Raw genomic sequence first — 16,968 nt, forward strand, 5'->3', positions numbered from 1 at the left:
CCTTCTCCAGCCTCCAGTTCTCTGGCTGGAGAAGGGAACGGGCCTGGCTGATCCCAGGGTCCTGAGGTTTGATGCTGAGTGTAGGAGAGTTCTTCTGGGCAGGTTTTCTAGTGTTTGGATGGGCACCTGCCTCCTTTGGGAACTAGGCAATGTTTAAGAGTGGACCCTGCCTCCACCTCATGTGTCTTATATGGCCTTGGGCAAGTCCCTGGGTTCAAGTCTGTAAATTGGGAAGGGCGATGGTGCCCACCTACCTGGCAAAGCCCTGGGGAATGAACACATCCATCCGCACAGGTGCTTGGCCCACTGACAGGGAAAAGGAGGCACCCTGAGACATCGGCTGCAGGCTATGACCACCCGCTCTTCTCGGTGAGCAGAGCCCAGCAGAAGGACATCTGGCCAAGAAGTGGTGGCCGTGTGCACAACTCAGCCAGAGGAGGGGGCACAGCCCTGTCACCAGGAACATCCCCTCACCTCCCTAGGCACTGGCCTGACTTTGGCCTGGCCTCTCCTGTGACCCCAGGATTTGGAGAAAAGTCTCAGGGAAGGGCTGACTGACTACCTGGGCTAGATCCTCACCCCTGGACCAGTCAGCTGTGGTCAGAAGGCAGATTGTCCAAGAACAGTCTGTTCCCAGGGATCGTCTAGCCCCAGGGTTTTCTGGCCATAGCTTCAAGCTCAGGAGGCCACAGCCTGTAGCAAAAACAAGGGTTTGGGAGCACAACAAACCAGGGTTTGAGTCTGTTTCTCGGCTTGGGATGGAGACATCTTTGAGACTCAGTTTCCCCATCTGTTCAGCTGGCAAGCCCACTCACCGCTGGCATGAGGAATTAATGAAATAATGAGGGGCTAGGCCATGGCGAAAAATCAGGGGCTCACCGTGTCTCCAAAAGGGCTGACCGGCTTTTCCTTGCTCTTGACAAATGTGGCCCCTGAGCGTCCAGGTGCGGTGCCCCTCCACTCCCAGCACGGAGTCCCCCTCTACCTTCAAGCTGGCCACCAGCGCCTCCCTCCCCTGTCTGGACAGAGGGCCCGTGGGGGTGCTGAGATCTGGCCACGTGCTCTGCCTCAGTCCAAAAGCCACACTCACGTGACCATCGACAGTGGATTGATGAAATTAAGCACAGATGGCTACTTTGTTGTTGTTCTTTGAACTGACAGCTGCTGGTATAAAAATAAATTAAATTAAATTTCACAGAAGTCAGACTTTTTTTTGTATTTTTTTTTAAAAATGATCTAAGTTTTTCTGTGTTGTTGTCGTTAAATTGTTTTCTTTCTTTTTAACATACGGAGGCAGAGAAAACTCCAGGGCAGCAGAAACAAGAATTGCAAGGAGAAGCTCCAGTGCGACCCCAGGATTTGGAGACAACCCCATCCAACCCTCCCATAGCCCACAGCCCTCAGAGCTCCGGAAGGCCACGGAGCTGCCAGGTTCCAATCTTGACTTCTTTGTCTTTCAAGCTAAGGGCCAGGATGTCAAAACAGTCCTGGGTTTGCAGCCAGGTTTGGACACCCACTCACCCTGCGACCTTGGGCAAGTCATTTTCTTCCTCTGCACCTCATTTTCCTCGCCCGTAAAAAGGGGATAATAACAGCGCCTCCCTGAGGACAGTCATCGTGCCTGGCACCTAAGCACTCAGCTGCAGTTCTTGGCTTATTATTATTGGCTGCATGACCTTGAGTAAATAGAGAATCTTTACTCAGTGAAAGGATTCTGAGAGAAGTCTCCAGCCCGCCTGTCTCACAGCAGGCTCTGGAATCTCAGTGCCCCCATAGCTGGTCTCACCCACCCTCTCCACCCACCTCCCTTCCCTCTTCACACCCTGGGCCCCTGGCCGGCGCTAGGCACAGCCATTTGCACACAGAGAAGAAATAGGAGGCTTGGTGGTCTGGGAGCCCGGAGCAGACATCTATTCTCTGCCCAGCCCTCCCTCCCATGTGCCCAGAAACTCCCTTCCCCTTCCCCATGGTTAAGCCAGGTGCAGCCTGTTCTTGGACAACCTGCCTTCTGGCCACAGCTTACTGGTCCATAGGTGAGCATCTAACCTAGGTAGCCAATCACCCTGTCCCTGAGATGTTGCTAATGAGAACTGAGAAAGAGAGAGAGCCACCTTGCATGGAGTGGCAAGCTACAAACCTTCGGAGCTGCCCGTGGCATATTTCCTGCCATGTGGAAGAAGGTGGTCTGGAGAGAGAGTGAGGCTGGCCAAGAGAAGGACAGAGATGAGAGAGGAGGGACGGGCCCCGGTTTCACTCCTTCCTGCATCCTTCCTGAGTCCTCGCCCTTCCCGCAACTCAGGGGCTCTGCTCAGCCATGGGCCTCTCTTTCTGCCTCCGTGGCTCCAGTCAGGCTGTCGTCACTGTGACCAAATTGCTCTACTTGTCCCTCGCTAGCCAGTGGAGGGGGACAGCAGGGCAGGGCTGCAGATTAAGAATGGAGGACTCTCCAAAAAGGGAGAGGCCAGTTCTTTTTTTTTTTTTTTTTTTTTTTTTTTTTTTTTTTGAGACAGAGTTTCGCTCTTGTTGCCCAGGCTGGAGTGCAATGGCGCGATCTCGGCTCACCACAACCGCTGCCTCCCGTGTTCAAGTGATTCTCCTGCCTCAGCCTCCAAAGTAGCTGGGATTACAGGCATGCGCCACCAAGCCCAGCTAATTTTGTGTTTTTAGTAGAGACGGGGTTTCTCCATGTTGGTCAGGCTGATCTTGAACTCCCGACCTCAGGTGATCCCCCCACCTCCGCCTCCCAAAGTGCTGGAATTACAGGCGTGAGCCACCGCGCCCGGCCGGGAGAGGCCAGTCCTAACGGGGAGAGTCCACACTGCCTGGAGAAGGTGGTACCAGCACTGAGACAGAGGAGAGGAGGAGGGGGCGTCCATGCAGAAGGAGCAGCGTGAGCAGCGCAGGAAGGTGGGGAGCTCAGGAAGCCGTGCACATGCTCGGGGTGCTCGCGGGTGCGCGGGAACAGTGGGGAGGAGGCCTGGGAGGTGGACAGGCCAGACCAGGAGAGGCCCAACACCACAGAAGGAACAAATGTTTAGCTTCTGCCCAGGATGGCAAGAGCACCCGCACACACTGCTCCTCCCACCCGGCCCAGGCAGGCGCTTCCAACTGGCCCAAGTATTATTTCCCACTCAGGTGGGGCGCGGCTTCAGAGCCCCACTTCAGGATTACAGCTCCAGGTGCCACGCTGCAAGTAGCTACCGCCAACTGGTTAGAGTCGGCACAGGGGGCACAATCTATTTGCCAGCCCTGTCACCCGGGATAGGAAAGCTCACTACACACACTCACTCCCCCTCCCCAGCCCAGGGCACGACATGGTCTTGTGTGGGTGATAGCAGGGGCACTGCTGACTTCTGGGAGGCAGCCAGGGAGGTGTCAAGGAGGAGGCAACTGCACTAAACCAGAAAGCCATGGCCCAAGTGGAGAGGCAAAGATGGGGAGAGGGGAGACAGGAGGAGGCTTCAGGGCTTGGCTCCTGGCTGAGGAGGAGGAAGAACTGGGGCCTGGAGGCAGGATTTAGTTTGGGCCAATAACAGCTTTGCAGTTAACCTGTGACCCCTCGAGGTGCCGCATTTCCAAGCTAAACCCCAGGGCTGGGTCTCAAGGCCCCACATTTCCCAGGGAAGATTTCTAGAGCTCCTTCGAAGCCAAAGGACCCCAGGGTAGCCCAATGGATGGGTGGATTTATACACAGAGGGCTTAAGGTTAGGAAAGAAGGTGAATTTCCCAAAAAGAAGAGTTCACCTGCCCCCAGAAAACACCTTTCTAAGACTCTAAAGATATGACAGGGACACTCGCCTGAATTTGGACAAGCCCCTGCCCTCATTAAGCCTCCAACTGGTGTCTGTCTTTGTCTATTCTGGTGCTATAATAAAATACCTTAGACTAGGTGACTTATAAACAGAAATTTGTTTCTCACAGTTCTGGAGGCTGGCAAGTCCAAGGTCAGAGCCCTGGTGGATGCAGCATCTGCTGAAGGCAGCTTCCTGGTTCACAGACATCCATCTTGCTGAGCCCTCAAACAGCAAAAGGGTGAGGGGCTTGCTGGGGTCCCTTTTACAAGAGCAGTAACCCCCTCCATGAGGTAACCCCACCCTCATGACTCAGTCCCCTCCCAAAGGCCCCACCTCCTGATGCCATCTCCTTGGGGGTTAGGATTTCAACATCTGAATTTGGGGGGCACACACATGCAGTCTGGAGCAACCTCCATAAAACAAGGTGGACGGGCAAGGCTAGTGGCTTTCAAGGGTATTTGTTAAGCAGCTAAACCCTCAGTCAAATTCCACAACATCCCCTAAGTATATGCAAAGGGTCCCCCTAAAAGGTGCACGCCATCTCTGCCCCAGGGGGAGGAAATGAGAGTCACTTCTGTCTTCACTGGGAGCTCCCTGTCCTGAGGGCACAGGTGTGCCTGACCCCTCCTACTCCACCTAGGGCACCCCTAGGGTGGGCAAAGAGGGGTCATCAGGATTCCAGAGTTTCAAGGGTAGAAAAGTGGGGGAAAGCCACTTGAGAGAGGGGTCCTGAGAGAGGGAAGTGGCTCACAAAGAGCACAGCCCAGTGAGATTCAAGCACCAGGGCCCCGGGTCACTGGGATGATGCCAGCCACGGGATTGAAGTGCTGACACCCAAATCCTGTGGCCCAGGGGCCAGAGGAGGTTCACTCTCAGTCAAGTTTGACCAGGGGAAGTGGCACAGGCCTCCTCCCTTGATGCTCCTGGGCCCATCCCGGGCATGAGCACCAGTGACCCCAGCTCCTCCATCAGACAGACAGGACGGTAGGGAGGGCTGGGACCACCCCAGGAGGGAGCACACTGCTCAGAGACAGATCCTGTCCAGCTCGGCAGGGGAAGAGATGACAAGGACCCAGCACCTCTTTCAGAGTGCATGGGCTCCAGGCCTGGTCAGTTCTGGGGAGAAAGGATCCGGCCCAAGAAGGGGGCCCTGGACATCTGTTGATTGAGGTGCTTGTGATGTTTCATCAGGACAGCGACGGGACTCGAATGTTTGCATTAGAGTTTTCAGAGAGGTTCTTACGGGTTTGATACAAAACAGGACATGGTAAACCACTCTTGTTGAAGAAAGATGGAAGGCTATTCCTGCACCCACCCCTGCCCACGTGCCTCCAGCAAGGTGGGCCCCCATATCCAAAGTGCCCAGTGGGAACCCCGAGGCTAGAGGGCTTCTGAGAGTCCCCCCATGTCCTCCACTCCCACACTTCAAGCTCCATTTTCAGGGGAACCAGCAAGCACCCTGGACTAGAAACAAAACCACAGCTCCTGTCCCCACTCTGCCACCGTATGACTAGGCAGCCTTCAGCAGTTACTTCACCCAGTGTGATCTGATGGAACTTTCTGCAACACTGAAAACATTTTCTTTTTCTTTTTTTTTTATTTTAGAGACGGAGTCTCACTCTGTCACCAAGGCTGGAGTTCAGTGGCACGATCTCAGCTCACTGCAACCTCCGCCTCCTGGGTTCAAGCGATTCTCCTGCCTTAGCCTCCCAAGTAGCTGAGACTACAGGTGCCCATGACCAACCACGCCTGGCTAATTTTTGTATTTTTAGTAGAGATGGGGTTTCATCATGTTGGCTAGGCTTGTCTCGAACTCCTGACCTCAAGTGATCCACCCACCTTGGTCTCCCAAAGTGCTGGGATTACAGGCGTGAGCCACCAAGCCCAGCCTGAAAATATTTTCTATGCTGTGCTGTCCAGTACAGTAGCCATCAGCCCCATGTGCCTATGAAGCACTAATGTAGCTAATACAGGTAAGGAACTGAAAATTTTTTAATTTAATTTAATATTAATTAGTTTTAATTTAAATAGCAACATGTGACTCATAGCTATGATACTGGCAACACAGCCTCAAATTCTGAGCCGCTATTTTCTAATCTATAAAATGGGACTATGAATCTCTCCCTCTCAGGGGCTTCACGGAATGAAATAACAATCATAATAATGGGACATAAAGGAACTAAAGCTAAAAACTGGTGGAAAAATGCTAAGGACCCCATTCAGCAAACTTTTGTTCATTTCTTTCATCCTACCAAGTCCCTGGACACTGGATAGACTCAAGGTACAGCAGCAGGGAATTCAAGCCCCTCCCTCGTGGAGCTTGCGGTGTGGCCGGTGACACAGATTCTGAAGACACAATCACCCCAATAACTGTCAGGACTGTGGTAAGTGCAATGAAACAAAAATAAATGACAATGGTGTGGGTTTATGTTCATCGAAGAACAGCTGCTTCTGAGCAGGGCGGGTGGTCCCAGGAAGGCCTCTTGGACAGGGCCCCTTCTCGCCCCATGATATTAGGCCCATCCCAGAACACACAGCAGTAGAGCCACTGGGACCTACCTCTGGGGGCCTCTGCTGCTGCCTCAACCTTTAGTGACCTTGATAGAGAATGCGGCTCCTCCGGTTATGAGGACAACCTAGTATTCAGCAGGAATTGCGCCGGATGAAGCCTTTCCCATAGAGAGCTGACGTCAGTCCAGCTGTTTTTGGAAGCAAGTGATTGTCTTTTTCCATAAAGAGCATCAGGGAGAGGAGGAGGCGAGATAAAGCAGGGAAAAGCTGGGATCCCGGTGCCAGTCTCAGCTCTGCCGACGCTCTGTAGGACCCAAGTGCAGTATTTCCCCTCTCTTGACCTTGGCTTCCCAATCTTCAAGAAATCAGAGGTGAGACCGCGTGACCTTTTGGCCTATAACAACTGTGGCTTTCTCCAACTCCGGAAAAAATCTACATAAGAACTACAACAACGAGGATGATGGGGATGCGGATGATGATGATAAACAGAAGTAGCAACTACCATTTCAGGAATGTTTACTCATTGCCAGACACCAAGCTGACAGCTTTGCACGTAGGTTTTAGTCTTCACCAATGCGGGAAAGATGACTGCCTTCCCTCTATAGGTGATGAATTTGATCCGGTCCCCTGGTGGCAGAGCTAGCAGGACAACTGTAAACCACTCTTCTATCCAAACTCACAAGTCTGGGGTTGTCCGTCTGATTCTACCTGTAACATGGTATCAGAAGTCCCTGTCTTCCCGCCTCGTGCGTGTTTGGAGGCCCCTGAGAGTGCACTAAAGGCTCCTAAGAGAATGTCGTGCCTGGAATCCCAAAAATAGGACCTGCAGCTATCATCTGATTCTATCCCCACAGTCAAAAGTGGGACCAAACCCCTCAAGGAGGGAAAGAATCTTCTTAGGTTCTGCGGCCAGTGAGTAGTGGTGGATCGGACTGAAACCCACTCAGCGAAGAGCAGGGGAAGGTTTCTGTCCCTCGTGGCAGTCCCCTCCCTGATCTGGGCAGGCCCATGGTGTGGAAGAAGCTTCTGGGGAAGATAGACTGTTGGAGGGGAAAGTCCCACTCTGCCACTGCCATCCAGGGAAGCAGCTGGGCCACGGCACCTCGGTTCTCTGGGTCTGATTCTCCACCTGAAAATGACGGCAACAACTGCTCCTTCCCACTTAGGAGACAGTGGAGGCACAGCTGGCGCAGCAGAGAGCTCCCAGGCACAGCCCTGGGTGCACAGCATTGCTCAGGGAGCACGTCAGCTATCTGAGGACTCAGGACCCCAGGTCCTCATACTTGCTGTGCCCAAGTGCTCATGAGGCTGAGAAGTCCTGGCCAGGAGAAGGCCACACCCTACTGCCAAAGAGGCCTCGGGAAGGGCATGGAACCATGGACCACACCCCTCCCTCTATAGGGCCAGTCCTTAGGGCTGAGTCCCTGGCCACGTGGCCAGAAGAACCTGGCAGCTGCCCATCCCAGTAGCAGCAAAAGAAGAGGATTGCACGTAAATTAAAAACAAGCATGTGTGTTTCTCTTTGGCCCATCTGTGGCAGTTTCTCGAAGCACCAGCTCTTGGAGTGGAGTCGGGGGTGGGGGGGGTGGGGGACAAGGCGGAAGTAAAATGGCTCTTGGAGAAGCTGGAAAAATTAGCAATTAGGAGGGAAAATTGTAATGAGAAAATGAGCCTTAATAAGGCAAACACAATACTGCTGCGGCTTGTTTCTTGTTCTCTCGCTGCAAACAAGCGGTGACTTCATGTCTGGGTTTCTTTGCTTTCCTGCACCAGAGCCAACTGGGAAAAAGCTGGAGAAAAATGTCTCCATTGTCCCTAGACGGCGCTCCTGGCGTCCAGGAAAAAGAAGGCCCACTTACTGCCATTTGTGAAACACTTCCTCTGCTCTTGGCCCCCAAGAGCACGGTGCCCACATACTTCCTTAGTCAGGATGGGCTGGGTCATGCTGCAGTAAGACCTCCACTCTCCCAGTGGCTTAACACAACGACACTGATTCTCATTCACACGATGCATTCCACATAGCTTGGCAGGGAAGCTCAGCTCATCATGGTCCTTCAGGGACCTAGAATAACTGGAGGGTCCACGTGGATCCCTCCTTCCGTGATTGTCATCACGGGAGAAGAGGACCATGGTGAATCTCTCTTACTAGCTGTTAAAGCTTTCACCGGCCAGGTGTGGTGGCTCACACCTGTAATCCCAGCACTTTGGGAGGCCAAGGCGGGCAGATCACAAGGTCAAGAGTTTGAGACCAGCCTGGCCAACATGGTGAAACCCTGTCTCTACTAAAAATCCAAAAATTAGCCAGGCATGGTGGCGAGCGCCAGTAATCACAGCTACTCCAGAGGCTGAGGCAGGAGAATTGCTTAAACCCGGATGGTGGAGGTTGCAGTGAGCCGAGGTCAAGCCACTGCACTCCAGTATAGGTGACAGAGTGAGACTCTGTCTCAGGGAAAAAAAAAAAAAAAAAGCTTTCACCCAGAAGGGCCATTCATCACGTACACTCACATTTCATTAGCGAAAGAAGTCACTTGGCCATACTTAACTTCAAAGGGACAGGGAACAGTATTCCTAATGTGCACTGAGAAGGGGTGTGGAAAATTTGTGACCAGCTCTAATGAGGTCCACACACATTAGCTAATCTTCCCCAGAGGAGGAAGATAGTAGCTCTTAATACTACCTTCCTCACTTTACAGAGAAGAAGGCTGAGTCTCAGACAAGTTCATCCACTCACTCGTGTATTCATTCAGCCTTGGCCACTTACACATTATTCAACAACTAAAAATGAGTTGAATTCCTGATTCTCCATCATTCAGCCACCATTTCTGTTTTAAGTTCTAGGATACTTGTGCAGAACATGCAGGTTTGTTACATAGGTAAACATGTCCCATGGAGGTTTGCTGCACCCATCAACCCATCACCTAGGAATTAAGCGCCGCATGCATTAGCTATTTATCCTGATGCTCTCCTCCTCCCCACCCCCTACAGGCCCCACTGCATGTTGTTCCCCTCCCCGTATCCATGCGTTCTCATTGTTCAGCTCCCACTAATAAGTGAGAACATGCAGTGTTTGGTGTTCTGTTGCTATGTTGGTTTACTGATCATACACCGTTTCTTGAGGGCTAACACTCTGCTGGGCACTGGGGATACCGCAGGGAATAAAACACACACAGTCCCCACCTTCATGGAGTTCACATTCCAGGCGAAGACACAGACAAATAAGAAAGCAAGTAGAGGCCGGGCGCAGTGGCTTACACCTGTAATCCCAGCACTTTGGGAGGCCGAGGCGGGCAGATCATGAGGTCAGGAGATTGAGACCATCCTGGCTAACACAGTGAAACCCTGTCTCTACTAAAAAAAAATACAAAAAAATTAGCTGGGCGTAGTGGTGGGCACCTGTGGTCCCAGCTACTCGGGAGGCTGAGGCAGGAGAATGGCGTGAACCTGGGAGGCGGAGCTTGCAGTGAGCCGAGATTGTGCCACTGCACTCCAGCCTGGGTGACAGAGCAAGACTCCATCTTGGGGGAAAAAAAAAAAGAAAGCAAGTAGATAAACAAGAAACTCATGAAGACTAAGAAGGAAAGGATTAAAATTGTGAGAGAAGTTTGTTGAATGGGCAGATGAATGTTTTCTAGCCTCATCCCTCAACACCCAACTCAAAGGCCAGGCAGGCAGCCCAGAGTTGGGATGAGGGCTTTGGAATCAGCAGCTAAATTGCAGGTTCCATTTCCACTATTTTCTAGAGATATGGTCTTAGGTAAATTACCTAATCACTCTGGGCCTCAGTTCCCTTACCTTCATAAAGAAGACAAGGAAGCATGCCACTGAGGGCGTTCCATTCTTTAGAAATTGTTCATATAAAGCGCCCAGCATAAGCCAGGCACGCAGGACACACTCAGCAAACGGGTGGCCAGCCCTCTAATTATTCCACCCACAGAAATGTGGTTAGGTGAAAGGACACAGGTTCTAGAGTTCATTCCAGTGAAATGAAAAGCGTGAGCACAAGACTAGGTGGTACTGGGCTCTGCTCCTGCCTGGGCTCACTTTCTGGCATGTGAAGTTTGGGTTTCCAGGGCTTTCAGCTCTGATATCCCTGGGCCTATCTATGAATTAATACCCATAGGAGCTGGAAGACAGGCACTCTCAATACAGAAACAGCTGCCTTTTTTTTTTTTTTTTTTGAGACGGAGTCTCGCTCTGTCACCCAGGCTGGAGTGCAGTGGCACGATCTCATCTCACTGCAACCTCTGCCTCCCGGGTTTAAGCGATTCTCCTGCCTCAGCCTCCTGAGTAGCTGGGATTACAGGCACGTGCCCGGCTAATTTTTGTATTTTCAGTACAGACGGGGTTTCACCATGTTGGTCAGGCTGGTATCGAATTCCCGACCTCATGATCCGCCCACCTTGGCCTCCCAAAGTACTGGGATTACAGGCATGAGCCACCTCGCCCAGCCTCAGCTGCCTCTTTTATAAATATTGATGCTGATCAATATCACTAGGCCTTGCAATATATAAATTCAACAGTCTGTAGATGCGAGAAATTCACCAGGGGTGGTACTGAGAGACTGTACCCGGCCAGCTATCACCCAGCTGCCTCTAGTCACCTCCAGAGGCCTGATCTTGGCCCTGGTCAGGGACCTTCCGAGTTCTCACCTTGGGCCAGTGGCACGATCTGTGAATTCAGTCCCAGAACTCTAGCCAGGCACCAGAAGCTGCTGTGGAAGGCAGGGAGCTGCACCTACATGGTGGGGACCCGAGACAGCCACTGTTCCAGAGGAGACGCCCTGGAAGCTCTAGCGCAGACTTCCCTGGGTATTTATAGCCCTGCCCCACCATGAGAGGCTCTGATTGGCTCAGATTGTTTGGCTCCAGTAACGAGCATTCCTATTGGACAGAGCCAAGCCCACCTATGGTGCTCTTTGGCTCCACCCTAAGCCCTGGGCCAATCAGCAAGTGGGCCACAGGGGTGTGGCTGTGGGCGAGGAGCTTGGTGCCACTTTGTCCTCGGCCAGGGCACGTGGTGCCTGCTCCGAGGCCTGGCTCCACCCAGCGTTATTAGCAAGAGCCCATAGCAGGAGAACTCAGTCCCTTGGCTGCTTCCCCTGCTAACTTCTCAGTGATCTTGGGCGAGTCACTTCCTCTCTCATCGGCAAAACTGGGTTAGTGGACGGGACAGTTGCTGCTAGCCCCACTTCGGGTCGCCTTACACATGTGCTCAGGCACTTGTTCTTGGCACATGAGGGAAAGGGCAACTCAGCCACCGCATACATGGGACTGAAAGGACACGAGTGCTGGCGAGAGCAGAGTGGAGAAGAAGGGGACGGCCGGGGAGGCAACCCGAAGCCCCCAGGCCCATGTCCACAAAGCGGGGAAACAAACAGCAGCACCGCTGACCTGTCCCTTGGCCTCTCCATGCCTGTTTGCCTCTAGCTTTTCAGGCATCGGACCAGCTAGTAGGCACCCGCACCATACCTGCTGTGGACAGACGGCTTCTCTCTGCCAAGCAGTTACACGCGCTGTGCATTAAGGCCCAGAGAAGCGGAGTTTCACGGCCCTCCCACGGCCAAACCCTTCCCTTCCAGCCAGGGAGAGGCCAGAACTGAAGAAACAGCTGGGCCGCCTGTGCCGCCTGAGTTAATGGGAGTTGTAATTTCTCCAGTGCCTCCATCTAGAAATGGGAGCGATGTGCATAATTTATGGGGGTCTGGGTCTGCGCAGCCAGGCTAGACGCCTGCTCGCTCACACTTGGACGGATGTGAGAGAGCGGAAAGGCATCCCAAGGGCGGTTTGCCCGAAGCTGCTGCCCTGGCCTGACTCCTCTGCCCTGTTCTTTGGGAAGTTGAGCATCCACGGGTGAAGGATGGGCCTAGAGCTAACACCTCCCTGGGCTCCAGTTACCTGGGACATCAGGGTGAATGGAGATCACCTGATTTGATTGCTGGTGGGAGGTTTTACAGCCTTGAGTCAGCAGCCATGCTCAGGAGGGGCATTTGAGCAGCCATGGGATCCTCTGTCTTTCTCTCTCTCTCTCTGTCTCTGTGTGTGTGTGTGTGTGTGTGTGTGTGTGTGTGTGTGTGTGTCTCCCCCCTTCTCTCTCTCTCTCTCTCACACACACACACACACACCCTTCCCCAGGTGAACACCTGCTCCATGAGGGCAAGGATCCTTTTCTGTTTTGTTGACTGCGATTTCCTCACTACCTAGAATAGGGCCTGGTCCATGGTATGTGCCCAAAAAATATGTATGGAATGACAGAGGGCTCAAGATCTCAGCGGGAATGAGGGAGAGCATGTGGGAAAGTTGAAAGAGCTGTGAGGTTGAATCCCAATTCTTCCACGGACCTGCTGGGACCTTGAACAATGGAAACCCCTTTTGAAACTCTGAACCTTTCCTTCCTCTCTATAACATAGGGGTAACTGGGTTACTCTAGGAACCCTAGGGAGGGACTTTCAGGTTGGAAATAAGGGCCAGCCAAGCAGCTGGCAGGGTGCGCAGGGGGCCCTGGGGAGTCAACACCGAGGCTCAGGAATTCATTCCAGAGACCAGCGGGTCACAACTGGAGGAGATTCTGCCCCATGCCCCCAGGATCTTTAGCAGTGTCTGGAGACATTTTTGGTTGTCACACAGGAGGAATGCTACTGGCGGCCACTGGGCACAGGACGGGGAAGCAGATAAATATCTGCAGAGCACAGGACAGCCACCACCAAGGATTACCCAGCCCCAAGTGTGCATAAGGCTGAGGCTGAGAAGCCCTGGTCTAGACCAAAGAGGGCATTCCAAGGCGCAGATTCCCAGTCTGTAAAATGGGAGGAAGACCAAGGATCCCACATGGGTGGGCTTCCATCCCAAACACAGCCTTCCAAGTCCCCAAACCCCCAGAGCCCAGAGAGCAGCTGGAGAAGACGGCACAGCGGCTGCCTCCCCAGGAAGGTGCGCTCACCTGAGGTCCCGAGGCGGCAGGTAGGTAAAAGGCAGAGTGCCTCTGTCCCATGCAATCAGCTCAGGAAGGCAGCAGCAGTGGCAACCCTAATTGCTCTCTGACCAGCTGAGTCACAGTTGAAAGAACTTCCCGCTATTTCTTCTTTAATTGTAGTATTAACGGCAAAGCAGAGGCACCTGCCTTCAATGCTGCCGGGCGCCCGCTCCATGACCGTGTGTTCCTAGAGAAGCTCTGCCCCAGGAGGGACAAATGAGCGCCACCCAAATGTGAGGCCTTCAGGTTTCCAGACTGAACCGCCCACGGTTCTAGAACCGCTGACTCTGAGGTTCCAGAGCTACCCATGAGGATTCTGGAGCCAATGACTCTGGGATTCCACAAGTCTACTCCCTGGCATGCTGACACTCTACAACTCAAGGGTTCAAGAGGACAAAAGTTCAAGGACAACCAGTTCCCTGATTCTGAAAGCATGGGCTCTGGAAGTCCACATCTTGCTAGGGACCCGGTTCACACTGACCTCATGGGAGCTGAGCCTTCACAGGGGACCAGCGTTTGCAAGCGGATGGGTCTTGTGTGTTTGCAGTCACATGACTGACAATAGTGCCAGGACCAACATGTCCCAAATTCCAGTTTTTCTTCCGGAGGTCCGCTCCCCACAGGAATTCAGGGAAGAGCATTCACCATCCCAAATGGTCCTCCCGGGCCTGGTGCGCTGGGTCCGCTCCACCTAGGAGTGGGTTCTTCCGTGCTTGGGGCTCAGACTCCCACCAGTGGGGACACAGCTGAGCGGTTTTGTCCAGGAGTCTGACTGGAAAGAGCCCTTGTGCTCAATAATGCATTCCCCCCAAATGAGGACATCCATCAGGTGGCGGAGGCAGCCCTCGCCCCCTCCTGGGTCAGGCCAGGACGACACATCTGTCCTAACACGAGGCACAGGCTGCCTCCCAGAGCCCTGCAGCTTCCCCAGCCCGCAGGGGCCTTTTGTGAGGAAGCAGCTCAGCCAGCCCTGACAGGCTCAGTTCCTCTGCCCGCAGCCTGAATATTCCATGGGCTTGAATAATGCAGGCCCCCACATCACATCACAGCAAACCAATTGGGGCTGCTGGAAAACTGCAGAGAGAAAAAGTAGTGGGCTGCTGATTTTTTCCCCATCTCAAGACTGCTTTGAATGAGAGAAGGTTCCTGCTAAGCCAGGAAGTGGGGCTGATACCTGGGGCAAAGGAAGTAGGGCCCAGTACCTCTCCCAACCTCTGCAAGTTGAAGGAAAAGGGGGTTGGAGCTAAGTTAATTCAGGTTTATACCTGCCCCCACAATTTGCTAGCTGTGGGCCCCTGCATAAGTCACTTAACCTTGCTGAGCGTCAGTTTCCAAATCTGTAAATTGAAGATATTGCCTGGGAGCACTAAATAAGGCTGGATAAGGAAGGGGAACTTGGAAACTGGAAATTTCAACATGCTTTAATCCTCTTCTTCCTGCTCCTCCACCTCGTTCTCCATCGTTGCCATTATGGCCACCACCACCATCATCATCCTCACCCTCCGTCTTCACTTCCTAGGCCAGAAGAGCCAAGAGCCATATTCCTGCCTTGCTTGCGGCATACCCAGTGTTCTAAGAAATTTTCCAGACTGCTTCAGAGAGTATATTTGGCCAAGAAATTTGGAGTCTGGGAAGCAAGACTTTTCCAGAAGGCAGTTGAAATATCTAACTGTAAAAGATAAAATAAAAAATGAAGAGAGCCCCTAAACCCTGTGTCCCAGCTCTATTTTAAAAATCCTTTGTTTTGAGGTTTGTTTTGTTTTTTTTGTTTTTGTTTTTGTTTTTGTTTTTTTGAGACAAGGTTTCACTCTGTCACCCAGGCTGGAGTGCAATCACACTCACTGCAGCCTTAACCTCCTGAGCAGCTGGGACTATAGGGACATGCCACCGTGCCTGGCTAATTTTTGTACTTTTTGTAGAAATGGGGTCTTGCCATGTTGCCCAGGCAGGTCTCCAACTCCTGGGCTCAAGTGATCCTCCTGCCTCACCTCCCAAAGTGCTGAAATTACAGGCGTGAACCGCCACACTTTGCCAATCCTTTGTTTTTTAAATGCAAAAGTAAGTGTATGTTCATTATAACAATTCAAACAATAAAAACAAATTTACAAACCTAACAGCCTCTCCCAACCGAGTCCTGTCCCATAAGATAACCAATGTTAATGTGAAAGGGAGTCTTTGGTCTTTGTTCTGTATAGAAATACATAAATATATAAGTTGGCCAGATGCAGTGGCTCACGGTGGCTCACACCTGTAATCCCAGCACTTTAGGAGGCCGAGGCGGGTGGATCACATGACATGAGGTCAGGAGTTCAAGACCAGCCTGACCAACATGGTGAAACCATGTTTCTACTAAAAATACAAAATTAGCTGGGCGTGGTGGAGTGCACCTGTAATCCCAGCTATGTGGGAGCCTGAGGCAGGAGAATTGCTTGAACCTGGGAGACGGAGGTTGCAGTGAACCAAGATCATGCCATTGCACTCCAGCCTGGGCAACAAGAGCAAGACTCCATCTCAATAAATAAATAAATACATAAGTCAAAAATAAAATAAAATTTAGAAATATAAGTTAAGTTCTGCTTCCATTGTTACTCTGTGTATTAGTTTACTAGGGCTGCAAAGTACCACACACTGAGTGGCACTGGAAGTCCAAGATCAAGGGGTCAGCAGGGCCATGGTCCCTCTGAGGGCGCTGGGGAGGAACTGTCCCAGGCCTTCCTCCAAGCTTCTGGTATTAGGTTGATGCAAAAGTAGTTGCGGTTTTTGTCATTCTTTAACCTTAATAGTTCCTTGGCTGTGGCAGCAGAACTCCGATCTTCACCTGGTATTTTCCTGTGTGTGTGACTGTGTCCAAATGTCCCCCCTCCGCCTTTTTTTTTTTTTTTTTTTTTTGAGACAGGGTCTTGCTCTGTCATTCAGGCTGGAGTACAGTGGCGTGATCTCGGCTCACTGCAACCTCTGCCTCCTGGGTTCAAGCCATTCTCCTGCCTCAGCCTCCTGAGTAGCTGGGACTACAGGTGTGTGCCCCCACCCCAGGCTAATCTTTTTGTATTTTTAGTTGAGACAGAATTTCATCATGTTGGCCAGGTTGGTCTCAAACCCCCGACCACAAATGATCCTCCCGCCTCGGCCTCCCAACGTGCTGGTATTAAAGGTGGCCACCATACCTGGCCCAAATGTCCCTTTTTTTTGAGACAGAGTTTCACTCTGTCGCCCAGGCTGGAGTGCAGTGGCGCCATTTCGGCTCACTGCAACTTCCACCCCCCAGCTTCAGGCAATTCTCCTGCCTCAGACTGCCGAGTACCTGGGATTACAGGCGCCCGCCACCTCGCCCAACTGATTTTTGTGTTTTTAGTGGAGACGGGGTTTCACCATGTTGGCCAGGCTGGGCTCAAACTCCTGACCTCAAGTAATTTGCCCGCCTCAGCCTCCCAAAGTGCTGGGATTACAGGTGTGAGCCATCGCATCCAGCCATGTCCCCTTTTTATAAGGACACCAGTCATCTTGGATTGGGGCACACCCTACTCCAGTATGACCTTAACTAATTACATCTGCAACGACCGTGTTACCAAATACCATCACACTCTGAGGTGCTAGGGTTTAGGACTTCAACATAGGAATTTGGGGCAAATCAGGGGAAGGGGAGATGCAGTTCAGTCCTAACACACTGTAACTTTCTTTTTTCAGGAAGCATTTA

General features: G+C 52.2%; 1 annotated feature.

The window, feature by feature from the left end:
* Window positions 10,970-11,191: a silencer, noted in NCBI's record as "fragment chr14:99827260-99827481 (GRCh37/hg19 assembly coordinates)". NCBI's record gives its function as "represses an EF-1alpha promoter that drives an FKBP-Casp9 reporter gene in an ReSE screen in HepG2 liver carcinoma cells {active_cell/tissue: HepG2}" and the evidence as "EXISTENCE:reporter gene assay evidence [ECO:0000049][PMID:32094911]".

Source organism: Homo sapiens, chromosome 14 (genome assembly GCF_000001405.40).
Source record: "Homo sapiens chromosome 14, GRCh38.p14 Primary Assembly".
In the NCBI taxonomy this organism is placed as follows: domain Eukaryota; kingdom Metazoa; phylum Chordata; class Mammalia; order Primates; family Hominidae; genus Homo; species Homo sapiens.